Source organism: Homo sapiens, chromosome 3, assembly GCF_000001405.40.
Source record: "Homo sapiens chromosome 3, GRCh38.p14 Primary Assembly".
Lineage (NCBI taxonomy): Eukaryota > Metazoa > Chordata > Mammalia > Primates > Hominidae > Homo > Homo sapiens.
In genome coordinates this window covers 195429859-195454972 of record NC_000003.12, presented here as the reverse complement: position 1 = coordinate 195454972, position 25114 = coordinate 195429859, and the positions used below count along the sequence as shown (strand labels likewise).

At 43.2% G+C, this 25114-nt stretch overlaps 1 protein-coding gene across 13 annotated transcripts in view, besides 7 other annotated features; it reads left to right on the top strand.

Moving 5' to 3' along the window:
- Positions 11589–12088: a silencer, noted in NCBI's record as "silent region_15038". NCBI's record gives its function as "represses an Ori minimal core promoter by ATAC-STARR-seq in GM12878 lymphoblastoid cells {active_cell/tissue: GM12878}" and the evidence as "EXISTENCE:reporter gene assay evidence [ECO:0000049][PMID:35858748]".
- Positions 11589–12428: a biological region, named in NCBI's record as "H3K27ac hESC enhancer GRCh37_chr3:195163293-195163792".
- Positions 11910–12409: an enhancer, noted in NCBI's record as "H3K27ac hESC enhancer chr3:195163293-195163792 (GRCh37/hg19 assembly coordinates)". NCBI's record gives its function as "activates a minimal SCP1, AML or CMV promoter by ChIP-STARR-seq in naive H9 embryonic stem cells {active_cell/tissue: H9 hESC(naive)}" and the evidence as "EXISTENCE:reporter gene assay evidence [ECO:0000049][PMID:30033119]".
- Positions 11953–25114, top strand: part of ACAP2 (ArfGAP with coiled-coil, ankyrin repeat and PH domains 2) — a 168276-nt gene continuing 155114 nt past the window's right edge. For 11 of the 13 annotated variants that reach the window (NM_012287.6, XM_011512603.3, XM_006713557.4 and 8 more), the window contains exon 1: positions 11953–12178. In NM_012287.6, the coding sequence (NP_036419.3) occupies positions 12126–12178 (53 nt within the window). In that variant the 5' untranslated portion in view covers positions 11953–12125. Of the gene's footprint in view, positions 12179–12696; positions 12824–25114 lie in introns of those variants that run through there. The other 2 variants (XM_047447837.1, XM_047447836.1) reach the window with 2 other exon arrangements.
- Positions 12209–12428: a silencer, noted in NCBI's record as "silent region_15037". NCBI's record gives its function as "represses an Ori minimal core promoter by ATAC-STARR-seq in GM12878 lymphoblastoid cells {active_cell/tissue: GM12878}" and the evidence as "EXISTENCE:reporter gene assay evidence [ECO:0000049][PMID:35858748]".
- Positions 12449–12498: a silencer, noted in NCBI's record as "silent region_15036". NCBI's record gives its function as "represses an Ori minimal core promoter by ATAC-STARR-seq in GM12878 lymphoblastoid cells {active_cell/tissue: GM12878}" and the evidence as "EXISTENCE:reporter gene assay evidence [ECO:0000049][PMID:35858748]".
- Positions 12949–13038: an enhancer, noted in NCBI's record as "active region_21055". NCBI's record gives its function as "activates an Ori minimal core promoter by ATAC-STARR-seq in GM12878 lymphoblastoid cells {active_cell/tissue: GM12878}" and the evidence as "EXISTENCE:reporter gene assay evidence [ECO:0000049][PMID:35858748]".
- Positions 20690–21190: an enhancer, noted in NCBI's record as "H3K27ac hESC enhancer chr3:195154512-195155012 (GRCh37/hg19 assembly coordinates)". NCBI's record gives its function as "activates a minimal SCP1, AML or CMV promoter by ChIP-STARR-seq in primed H9 embryonic stem cells {active_cell/tissue: H9 hESC(primed)}" and the evidence as "EXISTENCE:reporter gene assay evidence [ECO:0000049][PMID:30033119]".

Sequence of the window (25114 nt, the reverse complement as noted above, 5' to 3'; positions counted from 1 at the left end):
CAATCATTGATATGTTTACCGTCACTATAGATGAGTTTTGTGTTTTCCAGTATTTTATAGAAATGGAATCATGCAGTATATATACTCTCGTGTCTGGCTTCTTTCATTCGGTGTCACGTTTTTAGAATTTGCCCAGGTTACCTTTTTAATTGCTGAGTATTGTTCTGCAATTTGTTTATCCTTTTACCTGTTGATGGACATGTGGATTGTTTCCAGCTTGGGGCTATTATGAATAAAGCTTCTATGGACACCTAACAGCATTTTAAGGAATGCTTTTCTTGCTTAAGCTAGCCAGAGTTGGTTTCTGGTGCTTGTGAAAGGCCATGGCTGAAATGGTTCGTATGATTGGCGTTTTGGAGGTGGTGGTGACAGAATTGAAGATGGGGCTGGTGAGAAAGGCCAGTGACCGCTCTTGTGTGCTGGAGACAATGGGAAGACACTACAGACACTACAGCATTTTGAGTCTGGAAATGAGTAACCAGAATGACTTTTAATATAGTTTTTTTTTTCTTTTTCTCTTTTGAGACAGAGTCTTGCTCTGACACCCAGGCTGGAGTGCAGTGGTGTGATCTCAGCTCACTGCAACTTCCGCCTCCTGTGTTCAAGTGAGTCTTCTGCCTCAGCTGCCTGGGTAGCTAGGATAACAGGCACCCACCATCACGTCTGGCTAATTTTTGTATTTTTAGTAGAGATGGGATTTCACCACATTGGCCAGGCTGGTCTCAAATTCCTGACCTCAAGTGATCCACCCGCCTCAGCCTCCCAAAGTGCTGGGATTACTGGTGTGAGCCACCATGCCCGGCCCTAAGTAGTTTTTAGTAGCAGAGAGAGGCTTAGTTGGAGAGAGTGAGACTGTGGCAGGGAGACCAACTGGATGCCATTTGGAGTAATCCAGGCAAGGAAGAATAAAGGCCTGAATCAAGGCAATGTCCCTGGGGTTTGGAAAGAGGGCACAAATGGAAGAGCTGTCACATGAAAAGAGTTCACAGGATTTGAGGGTCAATTAAATGTCATGGTTATGAGACAGGAAGACTTTCAGAAGAGCTCCCAGAGGGTAGGCTGCAGCCAAATCAAGACATTAGGAAGCAAATTCTTAGAAACCTGGGTGTTTTGAGTTTTTGGGGTTGTAGTTAGGTGGAGTACATTTTTTCCTTACTATGTAATAAAAGCGGGAAGGGGGGCAGGGGTAAAAGGAAGCAGAAGCAACAGAGTTCACTCACACACAGATCCAACAATAAGGAACCCAACTAAATTGTGGTCTGGGTCCCCTTAGCCTAAACCTACCTTCTTACCTCAACCTCTTGGCTTGTTAGATATAAAAATGGTCACATTTTGAATGTTGAAAACTTCTTTCAATTTTAATTCCACCTATATTTAGTGTGCACCTACTATGTTGCTGGTCTCTGTGCTAGGTCCTAGAGTTACAAAATGAACGTTAGCACCTGAGTTTCACTTGTGAAGGCTGGGCTTCAGAGTCATCTGTGAGACTCATGTCCAGGCCCCACCCCTGGAAAACTGGATTCAGTAGGTAGGACCCACTCATATATATTAAATCAAACAAACAATAACCACAGAAAATGATATAGACAGTTCTGTTCTACGGTTGTAAACCACTGATGAATCAGCCCCTGTTATCTATATCTTATCCTAACAGCCACCCTAACAGATAGGTATCATCTGTTAGGTAAATGTACGCATGTGCACAAGTAATTACAGAAGCAGAATCACACTGGGAGAAGAAAACATCTATTCATTCAATATTTATTAGGCACCTAGTGCTATGGTTTGGCTGTGTCCCCTAAATCTCATGTGTTAGAAATTTAATCCCAGTCTGGCAGTATTGAAAGGGCATTTCAGAGGTGGTTGGAGAGTGAGAGCTCTGCCCTCATGAATGGATTCATGGGCTAATGGACTAATGCGTTAATGGATTAATGGGTCATCAAGAGAGTGGAACTGGTGGTTTCATAAGAAGGGGAAGAAAAGAGGCTGAGCCCGGTGGCTCATGCCTGTAATCCCAACACTTTGGGAGGTCACGGTGGGAGATTGTTTGAGTGCAGTAGTTAAAAACCAGCCTGGGCAACGCAAGATCATGTCTCTACAAAACATTTAGAAGCCAGGCGTGGCGGCTTAACGCCTGTAATCCCAGCACTTTGGGAGGCCAAGATGGGCAGATCACTTGAGGTCAGGATTTGAGACCAGCCTGGTCAACAGTGTGAAACCTCATCTCCACTAAAAGTACAAAATTAGGCTGGCATGGTGGCGCATGCCTGTAGTCCCAGCTACTTGGGAGGCTGAGGCAGGAGAATCGCTTGAACCCAGCAGGAAGAAGTTGCAGTGAGCTGAGATTGCACCACTGCCCTCCAGCCTGGGCAACAGAGTGAGACTCCATCTCAAAAACATAAATAAAAAAAATAAATTTGCTGAGTGTGGTAGTGCATAACTATAGTCCCAGCTACTCTGGAAGCCTAGATGGAAGAATTGCTTGAGACCTGGAGGATGAGGCTGCAGTGAGCTGTGATCACGCCGCTGCACTCCAGCCTGGGTGACAGAGTGAGACCCTGTCTCAAAAATGATTAATAGTAAATAAACTTTGAAAATTAAAAAAAAAGAGGAGAGAAACCTGAGCAAGCATTAGCACGCTCAGCCTCTCACCACGTGATCCCTTGCCCTACCTTGGGGACGCCACGGAGTCCCCACCAGCAAGAAGGTTCTCACAAGGTGCAGCCTGCCCCCCGAGAAGACCTTGGACTTCTCAGTCTCCATAACTGTAAGAAATAAATCTTTTCCTTTACAAATTACCTAGATTCAGGGATTTTGTTATAAGCAACATAAAGCTGACTAAGACACCTAAGAGTATCAGGTGCTGGGCTAGGTTCTAGAGCTACAAAGATGAAATGAACATAACATCACCACCCAGAAGGTCTAGCAAGTATACAGACATAAAAATCTCAAATTGTAATACTGAACTGAACCCTGTTCCAACACTATGTACAACAGGTGACAGAACAACCGGAATCCCAAAGTCACATCACTGTGATGGGAAAGTACCTGAGGAGATTCCATTTAAGCCAAATTTTAAATAATAAAGGGGAGTTCACCAGGTCCACAAAAGGGAGAAGGCCCATTCAGGCTGAAGAAACATTGTGTACCCAGGTGGGCGTGAGAGAGAGGCACGCTGAAACAAGCGAGAGCATTCAACTCCTTCATGGATGGATGAACCTATTTGCAGTAGAGAGACTGGCAGCAAAGAAGGCAGGAAAGGTTGGCAGGTGCTGGATATTGAAGGGACCTTATTTGTGAAATTAGAAATTCAGTGTTTATCCTACAGACCTGTGGTTTTCCAACTATACTCAGTGGAGCTGTGAGTGCTCCTTGGAGTCCACACAGGGGCCATCCGGGGGTGGGCAGTGGGGCCAGGCGGGCAAGGCTCTGGGTCTCCCATTCCTGTTTCAACCTCACCAACTCTGCTTTTGCCTACTTAATGGTGGGCATCAGTGAAATACTTTTTCTTTTAAATAAAGGGTTTCATAGTTAGGGAAAGCTGAAAAATGATAGCTTAGGCAATGACCAACCCTTGAAGAATCTTAAGCAGGAAAGTGGCATGAGTTTCCCAGGTGGAAAGACTTGGAAACAGTGGCAAATGCTGAGGAGACGTCAGGAAAACAAGTACTGAAAGTGTGCTTTGGGTTTGGCCGTTGGAAAGTGACCTTCCTGAAACAGTTGGTAGGGAGCAGGGGTGTTGGAGAGAGTGGAGAACAGAATGCAGAGGATATTGGAATGAATGGGAGGAGAAACTGTGGAGTAGGGAGTGGAGACTGTGCTGTTAAAGAGTCTTAGATATAAAGCAACGGAAGGAGATTTGGCAATAGTCAGAGGGGAATTTTTCCAACTCACATGTCCCCCTTCTTGGCTAAGAGATTTCCCAACTACAAGGTCACAGGGGCAGACTCTCAGGAGCCATGTTTGTACACAGCTGCCTCCTTGACTGTAGTTGATTGGCCTCTGTGCGGGGTACAGCATCCAAGGTGGGCCAATACTTCCTCCAAGAAATTTAGATTTGGGGCCTAGAGAGAAAGCCCATCCTCTCCGGTTGGTTGGGTAGTGTTGGGAGCTGCTGCCTGGAGAGTCAGATGAAGTAAGCTGCAGATGTGGAAATGGGCAGACAGGAAGGAGCTGCCGGCTTTACAGGCCCTCGTTCTAAATCCTTCTCAAGTTTCAAGGAAAGCCAGCCATCTGGTTCTGGGTGAAACTAACCCATCATGAACCCTTTGTTTTCATTAACTCACATAGTTTCTCTTACAACAAAAATAATCCTTTCTGATACAGACGGTGTATGATTTTCTTCTCTTTCTTCCAAAGACAGAAGAATGGTCAGTTGAGAGTTTGAAGGTACAGAGAAGGAGGGGATAATTGATAGAGCCATTCTCCAAAGAGAACAGAAGGGGTGGATTCCCTAGAGCACAGATCAGGAGTGGCAGAAAGAGATGCCACCTTCCTCTGAGATAGGTGGGTAAGAAGTAAGAAAAGTGCGAACATAGATGAGTATGTGGGCTGGGGGTAGAAGAGTGTTCCTAATGACTCTTATTTTCTTTTTGAGGACCCAATGTTGTTTGCAAATCATGAGTGGGGTGGGGCACATTTGCTGGGAGGCTTGAGGAGAGCAGCAAGGTTTGAGAACAGCCATTGTGCCAGTGGGCCAGGGAACTGGTCACAGATAAATAATACAAAGACAGTTGAGATGAGGCGCGGTGGCTCACGCCTGTCATCCCAGCACTTTGGGAGGCCGAGGCAGGTGGATCACCTGAGGTCAGGCGTTTGAGACCAGCCTGGCCAACGTGGTGAAACCCCGTCTCTACTAAAAATAGAAAAATTAGCTGGGTGTGGTGGTGGGCACCTGTAATCCTAGCTACTCGGGAGGTTGAGGCATGAGAATCACTTGAACCTGGGAGGTGGAGGTTACAGTGAGCCAAGATTGCGCCACTGGACTCCAGCCTGGGCGACAAGAGCAAAACTCCATCTCAAAAAAAAAAAAAAAAGACAGTTGCAAATCCTAAGTATGTGGTGGTGAACACAGTGATGGAGACTCAGTGATAGAGTCTCATGTGCTGGTGAATGCAATGATAGAGTCTCCCTAAAAGCCTTCACCCATTTGCCTACTTATTCCCCCTTAAAATACAAATCAGGCCACGTACAGCAGCTCATACTTGTAATTACTTCGGGAGTCTGAGGCAGGGAGGATCACTTGAGCTCCGGAGTTCCAGATCAGCCCCAGGCAACACAGTGAGACCCACCTCTACAAAACGTACAAATATTAGCCAGGCGTGTGGCGTGCACCTGTACTTCCAACTACTCGGGAGGTTGAGGATGGAGGATCACTTGAGTCTGGGAGGTCGAGGCAGCAGTGACTTATGATCACACCAGTGCACTCCAGCACAAATCAGATGATACCATTCCTCTGTTTAGATTTTTCCAATGGCTTCCTGCTGCTTTACAATAGAAATTATTTCTAATCTTGCTCAGCAACTAGGAGAGGAGAAAGCAGAAGGAAAATGCTTGGATCAATCCCGAGCTGTGGGTATGAAACTGCCCTGAGGTGGAGGGAGAGACAGGGTGGTATACCAACAGCCTGGGAGAAAAAAGGAATACTGGCATGGGGGTGGGAGTGGGAACGTGAGTATGAAGTGAATATATGGGAATGAGACAACTAGAGACATCTATGCTGAGCTTGTGCATGGGATGTTCTGGGTGAGAAAATGGTATAAGATGAGAACATTTAAGGACTTTCTGAAGCAACATATTTTGAGATAAACTTTCTCCCCTTTCTATGAATAGCACTACCTATTACCCAGTCACCCAGATCTGCAACCTGGAGTCATCCGAGGAGTTGTCTTTATTTTTTCCTTCTCCCCACATTTGGTTGGCCATCAGATTCTTTCAATTTTTTAAATTAATTAATTAATTAATTTATTTATTTATTTTTTGAGATGGAGTCTTGCTCTGTCGCCCAGGCTGGAGTGCAGTGCTGCCATCTCGGCTCACTGCAAGCTCTGCCTCCCGGGTTCACGCCATTCTCCTGCCTCAGCCTCCCGAGTAGCTGGGACTACAGGCGCCCGCCACCACGCCTGGCTAATTTTTTGTATTTTTAGTAGAGAAGGGGTTTCACCGTGTTAGCCAGGATGGTCTCCATCTCCTGACCTTGTGATCCACCCGCCTCGGCCTCCCAAAGTGCTGTGATTACAGGCGTGAGTAACCGCGCCCAGGCCTCAATTTTATTTCTTAAACATCTCTTGCTTGCAATTGCATCAGTTGAAAATGTCCCACTCTCCATTAAGATGCAAATAAGATTATGTCACTCCCAGGCTTAAATTCTTCCAGTGGCTTTCCTTCGCTTTAATATACACAGTCCTTAGCATGGCATACAAGGTTCTTTGTAATGTCTATATTGATGGTGTACGATCCTTTCTGATACAGATAGTGTATGTATCAGAAATTCATTTCTTCTTTTCTAAAGCCATATTCTCGATTTACCATGCTTGAAGACCATGTGTTTCTCTTGCTTCTGTGCTTCAGTCAAAATAGTTCCTTGTGACTAACAGTCCTTTGACCCTTTGAAAGACATTCCTCACCTTTTCTTAGATCTTACTTTTTTAAGATTCTTCATATCTATGGAGGTATGAGAACACTAATTTCCTTCCTTAGGAGAAATGACTATCAGATTACAGTAGGCCACTGTAAATACTCAAAGACTGCTGGCACAGAACTTACCATAGTCTGAGAGTTGTAGGGGGAAAAGATTATTTATCTCACCTATAAGTCTCACAGTCTATTTATTTATTTATTTATTTAGAGACAGCGTCTCACTCTGTTGCCCATGCTGGAGTGCAATGGTGCGATCTCGGCTCACTGCAACCCCCACCTCCCAGGTTCAAGCGATTCTCCTGCCTCAGCCTCCCAAGTACCTGGGATTAAAGACATGCGCCACCACACCTGGCTAATTTTGTATTTTTAGTAGAGACAGGGTTTCACCATGTTGGTCAGGCTGGTCTTAAACTCCTGGCCTCAGGTGATCCACCCGCCTTGGCCTCCCAAAGTGCTGAGATTACAGGCGTGAGCAACCGCATCTGGCCTTTTTTTTTTTTTTTTTTTGAGATGGAGTTTCCCTCTTGTCATCCAGGCTGGAGTGCAATAGCATGATCTCAGCTCACTGCAACCTCCGCCTCCCTGGTTCAAGCAATTCTCCTGCCTCAGCCCTCCCAAGTAGCTGGGATTACAGGCACAGTGCCACCACACCTGGCTAATTTTTGTAGTTTTAGTAGAGATGGGGTTTCACCATGTTGGCCAGACTGGTTTTGAACTCCTGACCACAAGTGATCTGCCCGCCTTGGCCTCCCAAAATGCTAGGATTACAGGCGTGAGCCACCGTGCCCAGCCTCTCAGAGCCTATTATAAGGTCTGGCCAGAATAAATGCTCAATGAATATTATTGAATGAAAGAAAAATGAGTGAATGTTGATGTCACCTTAGTTGATGGTGGAAGTTGGGATGAAGGACTGTGAGTCAGGAGCCGAAGTCCTGGATGAACGTGAGTGTTTACTAGCTGTGTTTTATGGGGCCGAGCTATCAACATTTTCTTACAGGGAAATTGCCTTGACTACTAGTCAGCCATCATGCAGCCCCCATCCCTGCAGAAATGATTAGGTTGAGTGATTCCATCCCTCTCTTGGCTTGCCAGGGACCCACTACCTGTGTGGACTGATATGAAAAGATGAGCTGGGCTAATGTAATTGTCTCCTGGGATCTGTGAGTTGGGAAACAGATTTAAGCAATTAACACCAGGAGCCGAAGTTGAAAGGCTGTATAAAGAATTGTCAGCCAGGCGCAGTGGCTCATGCCTGTAATTCCAGCACTTTGGGAGGCCGAGGTGGGCGGATCTCTTGAGGTCAGGAGTTTGAGACCAGCTTGGCCAACATGGCTAAACCCTGTCTCTACTAAAAATACAAAAATTAACCGGGCATAGTGGCATGAGCTTGTAATCCCAGCTACTCAGGAGGCGGAGACAGGAGAATCTCTTGAACCCGGGAGGCGGAGGTTGCAGTGAGCTGAGATTGTGCCATTGCACTCCAGCCTGGGCAACAAGAGCGAAACTCCATCTCAGAAAAAAGGAGAAAAAAAAAAAAAGAATTGTCAAGAAATATCTAGCAGAGGTTGCAGAGTGGCCCTGAAACTTATTTTTATAACCTGTGCAATGTTCTGTAATATTTTGAAAGGCTTGTCAATATTTGAAAACAGGGAGATTTCACATGAAAATCTGGCTGTTTGGCGTCTCTCATTAAATCTGAGGTCTGGTATGGCAGGAACTGACTGGAGCTGAGAAGGACACAGGGCACATGCTTTCTGTTCGTCATAGCCTCCACCACCGCATGCTGCTCACACCTGGAAAGTTTCATTGTTTTATATTACCCACTGGGAGCCTCTAGAGGAATCAGTAGCAATGATAGATTGTATGCAAACCAGGTTCACAGGGGAACAGAACCTAGAGGAAAGCAGAAAGGAAAGTTGATGGGGTTGGGCAAGTAGGAAAGAGAGAGGATGCAGATGACAAGAGAGAAAACCAGTCCTAAGAGTTGCCTGAGTTTCTGCCCTTGTCAGTTCCAGTAGTGCCCACAGTCACCCTCATTGTAATTTCCTTTTCTTGAGATAATTTGCAACGCAATTAGCCAGGCTAAGGCAGGGAGTTACTAGAAATTGCTGGATAACAGCAACAAGGAAAGTAAGACAGTGTAAGCCTTTTGCTGACTATGTATCCTGACCAAGGAGTACCAGGGAGGAGAGATTGAACAACCTCTGCTCAAGAGGATGTATGGTCAACAATGTTCTCAGAGGAAATCAGCAGCTTTCTATGAAGAACTATGGGTGTCCAGGGTTCCAGAGGGTTTGTAGAGAGGGACTGAGAAGTTTGGGGAGAAGAAATTTGGAAGACATTTAAAGTTTGGTACTTTATATTCTTTTAGAGTGCAGACTGGGCCTAGTAAGGAACTTTTACTGTGTGTTGAATAGAGAGGTTTGTATTTCGGCCAAGAAAGCTTCCTGAGGGGGTGGCATAAGAGTGGTGTTTTAAAGAGAAGATGAAAGGGAGATTGCTACACGGGCAGACAGAGTTACAACTGCAAAGGCAGAATTCTTAAGGGGAGGGAGGACAGTTAGTAGTTCGGATCTGGCATCAGGCAGCCTGTGTTTGGCCTGAGTCACCTGGTAATTTATTTTCATATGTTGGGACCTTGGTTTCCATTATTATATAAAAATACAAAAATTAGCCAGGTGTGGTGGTGCATGCTTGTAATCCCAACTACTCGGGAGGCTGAGACAGGAGAATCACTTGAACCTGGGAGGCAGAGGTTGCAGTGAGCCAAGATTGTGCCACTGCACTCCAGCCTGGGTGGTAGAGCAAAACTTCTTCTCAAAAAAAAAAAAAAAGATGAGGATAATAATATTGTATTTCTTTTATTCTAAGACCCACTGCTCCCACCCCATCCCACTTTAATGTTTCTTTATTTAGGACCTATCTTAGAATTGACACCCCCAAATGCTTGCTTTATCACAGGGCAAGGAAGAAAAATTGTGACAGTGTTATCACTAACTGGGTATATGCAAATTTAGCCATCCACAGAAAGATGTTCACTTGGTAATTAGCTTAGTTATTTGCCTTTGTGGTGCCATGCAGTTGAATATTAATTTGAACCCCAAAGTGTCACTTTAGGTATCTTCTAAAAGGCTACACTGTGATTAAGTATTAAAATAATAAGTTATTGTATATGCAGATTAGCTGTCACACATCAGGAACGCAACCAAATATAGTAGAGATTGCCAACTGTCTTGGTAAATTTGACATTGAAGTTACAATGTTAGGGAAGGTTGGCCTGACCACTAATGTGCTTGAGGACCCTGAACATTTAACAGTCAATAGTCTGTTTTTAGCTATCAAGAAAAGCTGTGTGGTTTCCAGGAATACACAATTAAAAAAGAAATCAAGTTTATAAGCAAAGAATAAATGAATATAATGCTTCTATATTCTCTGAAATGCCTCAGAATTATACTGTTAATTTTCCTTTTTCCTTTTTTTTTCTTTTGATACAGTGTTTTGCTCTGTCTACCCAGGCTGGAGTGCAGTGGCACAATCATGGCTCACTGCAGTCTTGACTTCCTAGGCTTAAGTGACCCTTCCACCTCAGCCTCATGAGTAACTGGGACTATAGGCATGTGCCTGGCTAATTTTTTGTATATTTTTGTAGAGTTGTAGAGACAGGATTTCACCATGTTGCCCAGGCTGGTCTGGAACTCCTGGAGCAAGGAATCTGCTCACCTCGGCCTCCCAAAGTGCTGGGATTACAGGTGTGAGCCACCATGCCCTGTCTATACTGTTAATTTCTAAAGATGCTAAAGAGATCAAGATATCTCTTGATGGGTTACGAAAAACAGTATGTCATCACGCTATACTTAGCCAGACGGTCAGAAAGTTATATTAAGACTTTAGAAGGCTGGGTGTGTGGCTCACACCTGTAATCTCAGCATTTTGGGAGGCTGAGACAGAAGGATCACTTGAGGCCATGAGTTTGAGACCAGCCTGGGGAACGGAACGAAATTGTTTGATTGTTTTTGAGACAAACAAAAACTTCAGACAGTGAAAGTGAGAGAACTTAGACTTAAGCCCTTTGATTATAGTACTGAAGAGGCAAATGGTACAATTAAAATAGCCAACATTTACTGAATGATCGATATGTGGCACTGTGTTAACCGGACAACTTCATCAGATCTGTGTGTTATGTTCATTTTAAAGTGAGAAAGCTGGGACCTAAATCCAGGAAGTTTGCCTCCAGATTCTCACTCAGAGCCACTATGCTGTTAGAACACCCTGTATATTCATTTTTATAGATACGCCCGTGTTTTTTAGGTTGGCTTAAAAATTACTCATTACATATAAGACATCTTTGTACTTTTTACAATCAATGGCATCTTAAAATGAAGGAGTATGGTAAATACCTGCCGTGAGGATCAGATGATAAGTATCTTAAAGTGCTTCTAGAAAAAGTGTGGATTAGAGGGGCAGGTGTTGCAAGGTGAGTACGATGAGCCTGGTCTTCAGAACCCCACCATGGCAGAACAGTGAAAACCACCAGGAGCAAAGTGTCAGTGAGGGGGAATGCTTTCGGCAGTTTTGAGAGGAGTTCCTCCACACGAAGCACCCTACCTCCCATACCTGCCTAAATCTTTCTATGTCCAACCCAAACGGCAGCTCCTTCAGGAAGTGGTCTCTGGCTATATGAGAAGATGTACATGGGAGCAATTTCCAGATTATGAAGCTATGGAACAAATACATGAAAGATGGATTTTATCACTAAAGTTATCCTCGCTCCTCTTCTGGCCTCAGTTTCTCTAAACTGAAAGGAATAGGTGGCTTAGCCTATCTCTTCCTTTTATAATTTCTGCCTCTAACCTCTTCAGATTTCTGCCAATCTGCTTTGAAAAGCAAATTTCCTTCCTCAGACCTGCAGGAGACTGCTCCTCTGGGCTGGCAGCTCAGCAGGGCGGGGCTCGGGGAGCAGGAGAAGAGGCGGGGGCTCGGAGGGAAGCGCGGCCGCAGCCACGTGACTTCCTTCCCAAGGAACCTCAGCTGCCGGCCTCCCAGCAACCGGTGCGTCCCGCCTAGCGACGCCCGCGCATCCCGGTTGGCCCTCGGGGGCGGTTGTGGCAAGGAGGTGCCCACGGTCGCGCTGCTCATTGGCTCGGGTTGCCGTCGCTCAGACCCGTTGCCCGGGCGCCCGCAGGCGGTGCTGCCGGATGCCCCGCCCCTTGGCCGCCAGGTTCGTGGCTGGCTGGCCGCTGCTGTCACTCCCCGGCCGTTTCCCTGCGGCCAGCGCTCTACTTGGGGCGGGAGGAAGAGGGGCGGGACTGGGGCCTGACTAGTCGTCGCCGTCTTCGCGGCTGCTATGACCAGCGGGCGAGGCGCCCTTCGCAGCTCCGCGCAACGCTAGTCGCGGCCGTGCGCCCGCCGTAGCCGTCTGCGTCCCAGCGCGGCCGCTCCCGCGGCCCCCTCGGCTTTGCCAGCGCCGCCTGCGAGGCGGAGGCAGGATGAAGATGACTGTGGATTTCGAGGAGTGTCTGAAGGACTCGCCCCGCTTCAGGTAACCGGCACGGCCGCCCGGCGTCACCGCGGAGCTGCCTTCCCGGCGCTGGGGGCGTGAAAGCCGGGCCCGCGCACCCGGAGGAGGCCCCGCCGTCCGCTCCTTCCGACGGGGCGAGCGGCTGTTGCCGCCGTTTCCCACCCTGCGAGGGCACTGCAGTCCCCACCGAGCCCTCCCGAGGGGCGACGAAGTGGCGGGGACGGGGACGTCGCCTCTCATTTCTTTCCTTGCCCTCTGCCGGGGCGGAGCGCCCCGAAGGCCGGCGCACCCTCTCCCGCTGGGGGAAATGGGGTGCAGCCGCGCTCCCGAAGTCCCGTCCCCTTCGCGGGCGCTCGCTCTCGCCCCCTTCCTCCTCTGGCTGCTCTTCCTTCCCCCTTCCTTCCGCCCCTTCTTGGTTTCCACCCCCTCCCCACCCCCTCTTTGAGGGAGCTTTCAGGGCATCCTCTTGCAGTTCATTTAGTTCCTCTTTGCGCTTTTCTGCCCCCCTTCCCCGGGGAGGAGAGAGTAGGGGGCGAACTGGGACGCCGACTTCTGCTTCGCGGTGCCCCCGGCCAGAGCGACTCTCCGGAGGGCGCCCGCGGTGGATGCGTGCGGGAATCGCGGGGGGAAGCGCTGTGATCAACCGCATTCCGTGGACCCTAGTTGGTGACTACCTGCTTTTCTTTCCACTTAAGCTCGTTGAAGGGGGCACAGCTGTCGAGAGGTACCGGGCTGAGGGCGGAGGACTAGCAGAAAAGTGCATTTCTGTTTTGAGAACGGAAGTAGGAGGGCCGTGAAGATTGCCTGTGTGTTCCTCTTCCAGCAGCCTCTGCCCAGGAGGGCCCGGATCACAGTCGGATGCTCCCAGTGGATCTGTCACAGAGTTGACATGGGGGCACTCCGATTCACATGGGTTGCCCTTCTTTCTATGTGAGAGGCGGTCGTCCTGAGGCCGTCCAGGACACAGGTTCTTTCTGTTTTGAGGATAGTAGGAAAGTCTTGAGTTGTTTTGGACAATGGAGTTTTTCTAGGTTGCGTTTTACAGTGTATTTATTTACAGGGCTGGTCATAGTCCTTACAAATATAAGGCCTTAACACTTCCGTTAGATAGTGACATTTCTTGAAGCTTCCTCTGAGCACTGGCGTGTGTGTGCCCGCTAATGTCTGGGCCAAGCCTGGATTGTAAATTGCATCCTCTGCCTGGGAACTAACTGTTCTCATCCTTAACACTGTTAATTGGATTTCTTATTCTCCTTTCAGCGAAAAAGAAAAGAATTGTAAAACTAAGGAACTGCTACTTAGAGAAAATTTAAGAACGCTTTTTGCGTTTGCCCTTTGATGATTTTTGGGTATTAATTTTATTGGAGCCTAGGGCTATTATTTAAAAAAACCCACTTCCTTTGATAGCTGTTGTTGCGATTCATTTTTGAAACTTTTATGTTCTGCATTATTGAAGGACTCAAGAGACACAAATAGATTTCCTAGGACAGGCGTGCAGGTTGGTTTCCAGGACAGCATGGCAAGTGGAGTAATTTTTAAAGTGCACCTTAGAAAGTTCAGCTTTTTGTGAAATTTTGTTACTATGACTCAGCTATTTATTTTTAAGTGAAATAATCACAGCATTTTTCCCTTAGAAGATGTAGCTTTGAACTCCCTTTGTTTCACATTAATTTTTTTTTTTTTTTAAGTTGAGAGAAGTGATTTGGAAATACTTCTAGCTACTGGGGTTGGTCACAAACCATGTGATGTCTTTGTTTTTGAAATAAAGAAATCATTGAATATAAAATAAGAGGGCAACATACTGATTAAGTTGTAGGGAATATTATAGTGAACTTTTGTTAAACTTGATTGTAACATAAATTCTATGTTAATTAAAATATTACAGGTTTTCAGGAGTTGTTTCCCATATTCCAATTATTGTTAGCTGCAAATTGGGAAGAGATGCCAAAATTTCAATAACTTCAACATCTTATATACATTTTGGGGACAAATTAGATTTGCAATAGAGGGAAGACTGCCGAGAAATAGAAGTTTCATTATTCATATTCTTAATTTTTTATAGTTTTTCCATAATCCTATTACTATGAGGATCTGTATAGCATTTGAAAAGAATATTTGAGAAGTCTTCATTCACATGTTGTATGTATAAGAAGAGCTTTACTTTTGAGAGTATTGTGTATGTTGAGTGATAGTGAAACTTGTATCAAAATAAAAAGCTTGTGAGGCCTGGGCTTGTTTTTTGGTAGTAAGGCAGCTGCACTTGTGTCCTGATCTATTGGGCTGTCTTTAAATTAATACGTGTCTTTATTCATAAATGAATCTTGTGGCATTTAAGTCTAGTGTGTGCACATAACTGTCTTGGTGCTGTAGAATTAATGCAAAAGGCACATCTTGCTGATGAAAATTTCACCACTGTTCAAGCTTTAAACATCTATTTTCCTGTTAAATCAATGAGGAGAATACAAGGGGACTGGTTGAAATAGGGAGAAGGATGTTGCATTTGCAACATTGTCTTTTGTAATTTGAATAGTCAATGGTTACTTTTACATCCCAGTGAACATTTTTTTTTTGTTTTGGATTGGAGGGCACATTTCGTTGTATAATTTTGGGTTCCCTTTTTGGTTTTTTAAATACCAGTTTAAAATCAGCTTAAAGGTCAAAATCTTGTTCATCTAAAATCTAAAAACCTTGTTCATCTAAAAATCTACAGGAATGTAAAGTGCCTAAGTATACTTTTTTTTGAGTGGAAATTTTGCATTTTGGCCAAAATATGTTGAAGTTGGAATTTGTTTGGGCCCTTAATTGTATGTAGTTGCATGTAGTAGGTCTTTAAAATTTTACAAAACCTCCGTAAAAGTACTGCTTTTCTTTTACTTAAACATACTCTTGGGCTGAACACTGTGGCTCACATCTGTAATCCCAGCACTTTGGGAGGTGGAGGACGGCGGATCACTTAAGGTCAGGAGTTTGACACCAGCCTGGCCAACATGGTAAAACCCCATCTCTACTAAAAATACAAAAATTAGCCGGGTGTGGTAGTGTGCACCTGTAATCCCAGCTACTTGGGAGACTGAGGCATGAGAACTGCTTGAACCTGGGAGGCAGAGGCTGTAGTGAGCTGAGGTTGTGCCACTGTACTCCAGCCTGGGCAACAGAGCGAGACTGTCTCAAAAACAAAAAAAACAAAAAAAACAAAAAAACCCAAAATGTATTCTGTTTTACTTAGGAAGTGAATATCTATTTGAAATAAAAAGTAGAATAAATAAATTGAATAAATAAACATCTTTCTGAATTATGAAAGATTTTTGTCAGCAGTGTTCAAGTATAAAAATATTGTGGCCAGGTGCAGTGGTTCATGCCTGTAATCCCAGCAGTTTGGAAGGCTGAGACAAGAGGATCGCTTGAGGCCAGGAGTTTGAGACCAGCCTGGGCAACAAAGTGAGACACCGTCTCTACAAAAATAAAAAAATTAGTTGGGCATGGTGGCGTGCATCTGTGATTCCAGCTACATGGGAAGCTGAGGCAGGAGGTCAAGGCTGCAGTGAGTTATGTTCACACCTCTGCACTCCAGCCTGGGCAACAGAGCTAGACTCTCTCTCTCTCTCTTAAAAAAAAAAAAAAAAAGGCCTTAGCCTTGGTATGCTTTAGTTTTTATCTGATAATTTATTTTTATCCTTTAACAATGTCTATCATACACCATCCTGCAGGTTTTTCATTTTTAGATTCTATTTCAGATATGATTCTTTTTTTTTTTGAGATAGAGTTCTGCTCTTGTTGCCCAAGCTGGAGTGCAATGGCACGATGTCGGCTCACTGCACCCTCCGGCTCTTGGGTTCAAGCAGTTCTCCTGCCTCAGCCTCCCGAGTAACTGGGATTATAGGCGTGCACCTCCACGCCTGGCTAATTTTTTGTATTTTTAGTAGAAACGGAGTTTCACCATGTTAGCCAGGCTGGTCTCGAACTCCTGACCTCAGGTGATCCGCCCGCCTCAGCCTCCCAAAGTGCTGGGATTACAGGCATAAGCCACCATGCCCGGCTAGATACGATTCTTGTTCAGTAACTTAGAATAACTTTTTTTTTAAAAAGGGTGTTTGTGGGTGAATTATGTTTGAGAGACAGAGTCTTACTTGTTATCCAGGCTGTTCTCCAACTCCTGGACTCAGGTGATTCTCCTGCCGCAGCCTCCTGAGTAGCTGGGATTACAGGTATGAGTCACCATGCCCAGTCAGGTGAAAGGTTTTAATGGGCGAAAGACATTGGAATAAAATGTGACTACTAAATACACCTCAGTTATGTGTTGCTATTAAGTCTGGATTGGTGCCAATCTTGTCTCCTTCCTTTGCCTTCCATCTTTATAATAAACTTTTAGCAACTGCCTGTTAATACAGTGGGTAAGGGCTGAGGGGAAATTTTTTTTTTTTTTAATCTCAGAAGCAGTAGAATGGAATTATAAAGTAATTTTATTATGAACCAAAATACAGGAATCCTGACTGGGTGTGGTGGCTCAAACCTGTAATCCTAGCACTTTGGGAGGCTGAGGTGGGCAGATCAGTTGAGGTCAGGAGTTCGAAACCAGCCTGGCCAGCATGGTGAAACACCATCTCTACTAAAAATACAAAAAAATTAGGTGGGCGTGATGGTGGGCACCTGTAATCCCAGCTACTCGGGAGGCTGAGGCAGGAGAATTGCTTGAACCTGGGAGGCAGAGGTTGCAGTGAGCTGAGATTGCGCCACTGCACTCCAGCCTGGGGGACAGAGTGAGACTCCATCTCAAAAAAAAAAAAAAGAAAATTCTTGCAGGTGGGGCGCAATGGCTTACATTTGTAATCCCAGCACTTTGTGAGGTCGAGGTGGAAGGATTGCCTGAGACCAGCCTGGGCAACATAGAGACCTTGTCTCTAATTTTAATGAAAAAAAAAAAAAAAAAAAAGCATGTAAAGTAGGACTTATCCTCATTTTAAAAATGTGGGTTTTTTTTTGCTTTTTTTTTTTTTTTTTTTTGAGACAGAGTCTCACACTGTCGCCCAGGCTGGAGTGCAGTGGTGCAATCTCCACTCACTGCAACCTCCACCTCCCTGGTTCAGGTGATTCTCCTGCCTCAGCCTCCCGAGTAGCTGGGATTACAGGCGCCTGCCACCACACCTGGCTAATTTTTTATATTTTTAGTAGAGACGGGGTTTCACTATGTTGGCCAGGCTGGTCTTGAACTCCTGACCTTGTGATCCACCAGCTTCGGCCTCCCAAAATGCTGGGATTGCAGGTGTGAGCCACCTCGACCAGACTCAAAAATGTTTTAAAAAATCCGGAAAAATCTGCAACTGGACATTTTGATAGATTAATTGACTTTTTAAAAATAGTTACTTCTTTTGCTAGTAATTGACTTTCTTAATGGTGAACTTTCACATGGTGGTCCTGGAAGAGAATTCACTCATTTACTCTATATGTTAAGCCAAAGGCTTTAATTTCATTTGTTAGGCTGGGTGCAGTAGCTTATGCTATAATCTCAACAGTTCAGGAGGCTGAGGAGGGAGGATCACTTGAGGCCAGGAGTTTGAAATCAACCTAGGCAACAGAGTGAGACCCTGTCTTTACAAAAAAAAAAAAATTAGCCAAATGTGGCCCACGCCTGTAGTCCCAGCTACTCAGGAGGCTGAGGCAGGAGGATTGTGATGCCCTGGAGTTTGAGGTTACAGTGAGCTATGGTGATGCCACTGTACTCCACCTTGGAAGACAGAGCAAGACCCTGTCTCTTTAAAAAAAATTATTAAATATTGTGTCAGTTAAATTTGCGTTGTTTATGGTGTCTTTTATCATATAGAAATTTAAAAGCTGGCTTTTGTTTATTGCCTAGCAAAGTTTCCCTACCCCATTATATTTTTCTGTCATTTTATAGTGATTTTAAGTTTCATGTAATGCAACTGGGTCTTAGTTTTGATTGTAGCAGATAATCTAATTTTATTTTCTTCCTAATGAAAACCACTTGTTCTAACACCTTTAAAAAAAATTCATTCTTCATTGATTTAAAATGAATCGCACATCCCTTTTGTGATGTGCGGGAGGACAAATTTCCTCTTGTTATATGTTTTACATATTTAGTCTTTACAGTACTTTTTTCTTCAATTTCAGAAGAGGATATGTCTTTCTATGTATTTTGGCCTTATTTATTTAAAACTTTTTATTATTTGGCCTTATTAAAATTTCAGGGATGATTCAACTATATGGTATTTAGGAAGAGACATACTTTAGATTTAAGGACATAAATAGGTTGAAAGTAAAAGACAAACCATGCAAACAGTACCCAAAAGAGAGGTGGAGTGGCTGTGCTAATATCAGATAAAATAGACTTTAAGACAAAAATTACTACAGGCAAGTATAATAAGAGGGCTGGGCATGGTGGCTCACTCCTGTAATCCCAGCACTTTGGGAGGCTGAGGTGGGCAGATCGCTTGATCTCTTGAGTTCGAGACCAGGCTGGGCAACATGATGAAACCCTGTCTCTACCCACAATACAAAAAAACCGTTGGCTGGGCATGGTGGCACATGTCTGTGGTCCCAGCTACTCAGGAGGCTGAGGTGGGAGGATCACTTGAGCCTGGGAGAGGTGGAGGTTGCAGTGAGCTGAGATCGTGCCACTGCACTCCAGCCTGGGTGACAGTGGGACTTTGTCTCCAAAAAAAAAAAATATATATATATATACATATATATGTATATATCTGTGTGTGTGTATGTGTATAAAAATAAAAGGGTCAATCCATAAGAAAGACATAATGACTATAAATATATATTCACTTAGCTGAGCTCCAAAATACACGAAACAAAAACAGCATTGCAGGCAGAAATAGACAATTCAGCAATCATAGTTTGAGATATAAATACTTCCAATAATGGGTGGAACAACCAGGCAGATGATTAATAAGGAAATAGAAGATGTGAACAGTGCTATAAACCAAGAAGACTTACTAGTTATCTATAGAACACTTCATACAGCAGCAGCAGAATTCACATTCTTCTCGAGTTTACATGAAGTATCCTCCAGCATAGAGTATGATGTTAGGCCATTAAACAAGCCTCAATAAATTTTAAAGTATTGAAATCATACAAAATATTTTCTGACCATAAGGGGATAAAATTTGAAATCAATAACAAGGAAATCTGAAAAATTCACAAATATGTAGAAATTAGCAGTACACTTCTAAGTAAACAGTGGATCAAAGAAGTCACAAGCAAAATGAAGAAATATTTTCAGATGAATGAAAACAAAAATAGAACACGCCAAACTTATGGGATGCAGCTAAAGCACTGCTTAGAGAGAAATTTATACCTGCAAACACTAATATTAAAAAAAAAAGAGGCCGGGTGCAGTGGCTCATCCCTGTAATCCCAGCACTTTGGGAGGCCGAGGTGGGTGGATCACGAGGTCAGGAGATTGAGAGACCAACATGGTGAAACCCCGTCTCTACTAAAAATACAAAAATTAGCTGGGCATGGTGGCACACACCTGTAATCCCAGCTACTCGGGAGGCTGAGGCAGGAGAATCACTTGAACCCGGGGGGCAGAGGTTGCAGTGAGCCAAGAGTACGCCACTGCACTTCAGCCTGGACAACAGAGTGAGACTCTGTCTAAAAAAAAAAGAGATCTCAAAATAGTAGCTAATCTTCACCCCAGCAAACTAGAAAAAGAAGAGTAAGCAAATCTCAAAGCAGCGAAAGGGAAGAAACTAAAAAAGGTAGAGCAGAAATAAGAGAAAATAGAGAAGAGAACAATTGAGAAAAATAATTGAAACCAAAAGGTGGTTCTTTGAAAAGCCTAACAAAATGGACACATCTTTAGTTAGAGTGACCAAGAAAAAAGGGCAGTGACTCAGATTACTTCATTCAAGAGTGAAAGAGGGCACATCACTACCAATTTACAGAAATAAAAAGGATTATGAGGAAATACTACAGATAATTGATGACATTAACTTAGAAGAATATATTTCAAGAAAGACACAAACTACTGAAACCGACTCAAGAAGAAACAGAAAATCTGAACAGACCTATAAAAAATAGAGATTTAATTGATATTCAGAAAGTTTCCCAAAAAGAAAAGCACTGGCCAAGATGACTTCACTGGTGAATTCTATCAAGTGTTCAAAGATGAATTACTGACATTCATTCACACTCCTTTAAGAAATAGAAGAGGAGACATCACTTTTCAAAGCATCGAGATTCCTAATCATTAGTCCATTGTTATCCTGCTACCAAAGCCAGGTGATGTATCACAAAAAAACCCTACAGACCAGCTGGGCACAATGGCTTATGCCTATATTCCCAGCACTTTGGGAGGCCGAGGCAGGAGGATTGCCTGAGCCCAGGGGTTTAGTCTGGGCAACACAGGGAGACCCTGTCTCTACCAAACCAAATCAAACAAAAAAAATTAGCTAAGTGTGATAGCATGCGTCTGTGGTTCCAACTACTTGAGAGGCTGAGATGGGAGGATTGCTTGAGCCCAGAATGTTGAGGCTACAGTGAGCTGTATTTGCGCCACTGCACTCCAGCCTGGGTGACAGAGCAAGATCCTGTCTCAAAAAACAAAAAAACAAAACCAGGCCAAACATGGCGGTTCATTCCTGTAATCCCAGCACTTTGGGAGGCCACAGTGGGAGGATTGCTTGCGTCCAGGAGTTCGAGATCAGTCTGGGCAACATAGTGAGACCTTGTCTCTATAAAAAAATTAAAAATTAGTTGTGTGTGGTGGTACATGCCTATAGTCCCAGCTCCTCAGGAGGTTGAGGCAGGAGGACCACTTGAGCCTGGGTAGTTGAGGCTTTGGTGAGCTGTGATGGTGCCACTGCACTCAGCCTGTGTGACATAGTGAGACCTAGTCTCAAAACAAAAATGAAACAAACCCACCAAAAACAAAGCAAACAAACCCTACAGACCAGTATTCCTTATGAATGCAGATACAAAAATCTTTGACGAAAGTACTAGCAAACTGAATATAGCACCATATAAAAAGGATTGTACACCATGACCAAGTCATAGTTATCCCAGGAATGCAAAGTTGATTTAATATACAAAAATCAATCAATGCAATATACTATAATAATAGGGTAAAGTATTAAAACAACACAATCATCTCAATAGATGCAGAAAAAGCATTTGACAAAATCTAACACTCATGATAAAACTATTCAAAAAACTAAAAATAGAAAATTTCCTAACTTGATCCTAATTTGATAACGGCCATCTTTAAAACACCCTCAGCTAACATCATATTTAGTGGTGAAGGACTAAAAGCTTTCCCCTAACATAAGGAGCAAGAAGCCTGTCACCACTTCTGTTCAACACTGTAGCAGAGGATAGAGCCAGAGCAGTTAGGCTGGAAAGAGAAATTAAAGGCATCCATATAGGAAAAGAAATAGTAAAACTATATTTTTAGATAATAAGTCTTGTACAATCAGCCTTTGTATCTATGGGTTCCACTTTTGTGAGTCAATCAATCATGGATTGAGAATATTTTGGAAAAAAACAATAAAAAATAACGATAACAAAGTACAAATAAATAGTATAACAACTATTTACACATAACATTTACATTGCATTAGGTATTAGAAATAATCTAGAGATGATTTAAAGTATATAAGATGATGTATGAAGGTTATTTGCAAATACAGTGCCATTTTATATACAGACTTGAGCATCCGTGGATTTTGGTATTAGTGGGTAGTGCAGGGGGTGGGCAGGGGGAGTCCTGGAACCAATGTCCTATGGATACCAAGGGATGAAGGTATATAGAAAATGCTAAGGAATCCACAAAAATCAGTTATAACTAGTAAGTTCAGCTAGGATGTAGTCTATAAGATCAATGTACAAAAATTATTTGTATTTCTGTATACTAACAAAGAAAACCAATCTGTCTATAGTGGCGTCAAAAAGAGGAAAGTACTTAGAAGACAGTACACTGAAAACACCATTGAAAGACATTAAAGACCTGAATAAATGGAAATACATCCCATGTTCATGGATCAGAAGGCTGAATATTGTTAAGATGGCAATATTCCCCAAATTGATCTACAAACTAAACGCAATCTCTATGAAAATTCCAACCGGTTTCTTTGAAGAAATTGTCAAGCTGATCCTAAAATTCATGTGGAAATATAAGTAACCCAGAACAGCCAAAACAATCTTGAAAAAGAACGAAGTTGGAGGATTCAATTTCCAATTTCAAAAGTTACTACAAAGTGATTGTAATGAAGACGGTGTAGTACTGGCATAAGGATAGACATATAGATCAGTGAAATAGAATTGAAGAGTCCAGAAACAAAGCCTTGCATTTATGGTGAGCCAGTTTTAACAGAGGTACCCAGACAATTCAATGCGTGAAAGAATAGTCTTTTGAACAAATGGTGCAAAGACAACTGAATATCCACACGTGAAAGTATGAAGTTGGAGCCCTATCTTATGTCATAGGCAAAAATTAACTCAAAATAGATCACAGGCCTGCATGGAAGACCTAAAACTATAAAGCTCTTAGGAGAAAACAGAATTAAATCTTTGTGACCTTGAATTAGGCAATGGTTTCTTAGGTATGAAATTTAAAGTACAAGGAACCCAAGAAAAGATTGATAAATTGAATTTCATTAAAATTAAAAACTTTCATGCTTCAAAGGACACAGAACATTAAAAGTCATGCACAAAATGAGAGAAAATATTTGCAAATTATACCTGTTAAGGGATTTGTATCTAGAGAATGTAAAGCTCTGCAACTCGAAGGACAAATAATCCAATTAAAGAATGGGCAAAGGATTTGAGTAAGTATTTCTTCAAAGAACATACCCAAATGGTCAATAAGCACATGAAAATATGCTCAACATCATTAACTAGCAATGCATATAAATACAAATAAAATCATGGTGAGATACGACTTCATACCCACTAGGATGGCTATACTGGAAAAGACAGATAATAACCAGCATTGGGAAGAATGTGGAGCTGTTAGAACCCTCATGCACTGCCAGTGGGAATGTAAAATGGTGAGCCACATTGGAAGAGTTTGGGAGTTCCTAAGATAAGAAGTTAAACATAGAGGCTGGGTGCGGTGCCTCATGCCTGTAATCCCAGCACTTTGGGAGGCCGAGACGAGTGTATCATGAGGTCAGGAGATCGAGACCATCCTGCCAAACATAGTGAAACCCCATCTCTACTAAAAATACAAAAAAAAAAAAAAAATTAGTCGGGCATGGTCGCATGTACCTGTAGTCCCAGCTACTCGGGAGGCTGAGGCAGGAGAATGGCGTGAACCCAGGAGGTGGAGCTTGCAGTGAGCCGAGATCACGCCACTGCACTCCAGCCTGGGTGACAGAGCGAGACTCTGTCTTGGGGAAAAAAAAGAAAAGTTAAACATAGAGTTACCATATGAGTTCTAGCGAGCCATTCCACTTCTAGGTGTATACCCAAGAGAAATGAAGATATATACCCACAAAACTTTGTACAAGGATGTTCATAGGAGCATTATTCACTGCCAAAAAGTGAAACAACCTGTGTCCGTACATGGATAAATAAGATATGAAGTATCTATACAAATGGAATTAAGGTATTCAGCTGTCAAATGGAATGAAATACTGTTATATGCCATAATATGGATGAACCTTGGAAACATTTTACTAAATGAAATAAGCCAAACACAAAAGCCATATATTATATAATTTTATGTGAAATGTCCAGAATAGGCAAATTTGTAGAGCCAAAATAGATTAGTGATTTCTAGGGGTTGGAGGGTGAGGGAAATGCAATTAGTGGTTGCTAACGGATATGGGGTTTCTTTTGGGAGTGATGAAGATTTTCTGGAGTTAGTGGTAATGGTTGTAGAACTCTAAATATACTAAAACCCACTAAACTATATTTTTAAATGGTGAATTTATGTTGTGAATTATATTTCAATATAGCTGTTACTGAAAAAGGTTTGAAGCGTAGAACATTTATAATCAAACGCATAGGTGGAATAGAAAATACATGTTGAGCCTCCATATTTCTTTCGCCTTGACTTAACAGTTATCAATGCATGGTGATCTTTAAACCCCAGCCCCTTGTTTCCCCATATGATTTTTTTTTTTTCAGTTGAGACAGGGTCACACTCTGTCACCCAGGGTGGAGTGCAGTGGTGCAATCTCGGCTCACTGCAACCTCTGCCTCCCGGGTTCAAGTGATTCTCCTGCCTCAGCCTCCCGAGTAGCTGGGATTATAGGCGTGAACCACTATGCCTAGCTAAATTTTGTATTTTTAGTACAGATGAGGTTTCGCCATGTTGGCCAGGTATGGTCTCGAACTTCTGACCTCAAGTGATCTGCCTACCTCGGCCTCCCAAAGTGCTGGGATTACAGGTGTGAGCCACTGCTCCTGGCCTCCCCATATGATTTTTGAAGCAAATCTCAGAGAGTATAGAATTCCATCAGTATGTATGTGTATGTCTCTGAAAATATATACACTTTAAAAAAATTATGTAACTACACACCATTATCACATCAGAAAAAAGTAACAATAATTAATAGCATCAAACATCCATCAAATAAGCTTCATAGCTTATGTAGGATTTATTTTGTGTCCTTTATCACATTAGAAGATTGTGTCTCTTCTTTATCAAGTAAATTCCCTCCCTGATAATCTGTAGATAAGAAATCCCGGCAGATCATCTTGGCAGAAACAAATCATTAGAGAACATTAGGCAGTCATCCATGGACTGTTTTGGACCTGTCCTTTTCATCTTCCTTTCTAACCTGAATTTGTTGCTTTCCTGGCATTTTGCACTTAATTTTTTGATTATAGAAAATTTCAAGCATATACAAATTAAACAGAATAATATTAATGACCCCTCATTATCCAGTTTAAGCAAATACCAATGTTGTGTAATTCTTGTTTCATCTATGTTTCTGTTATACTTACTCTCCCTTGTGCCATAGGCAAAAAGAACTCTCCCAA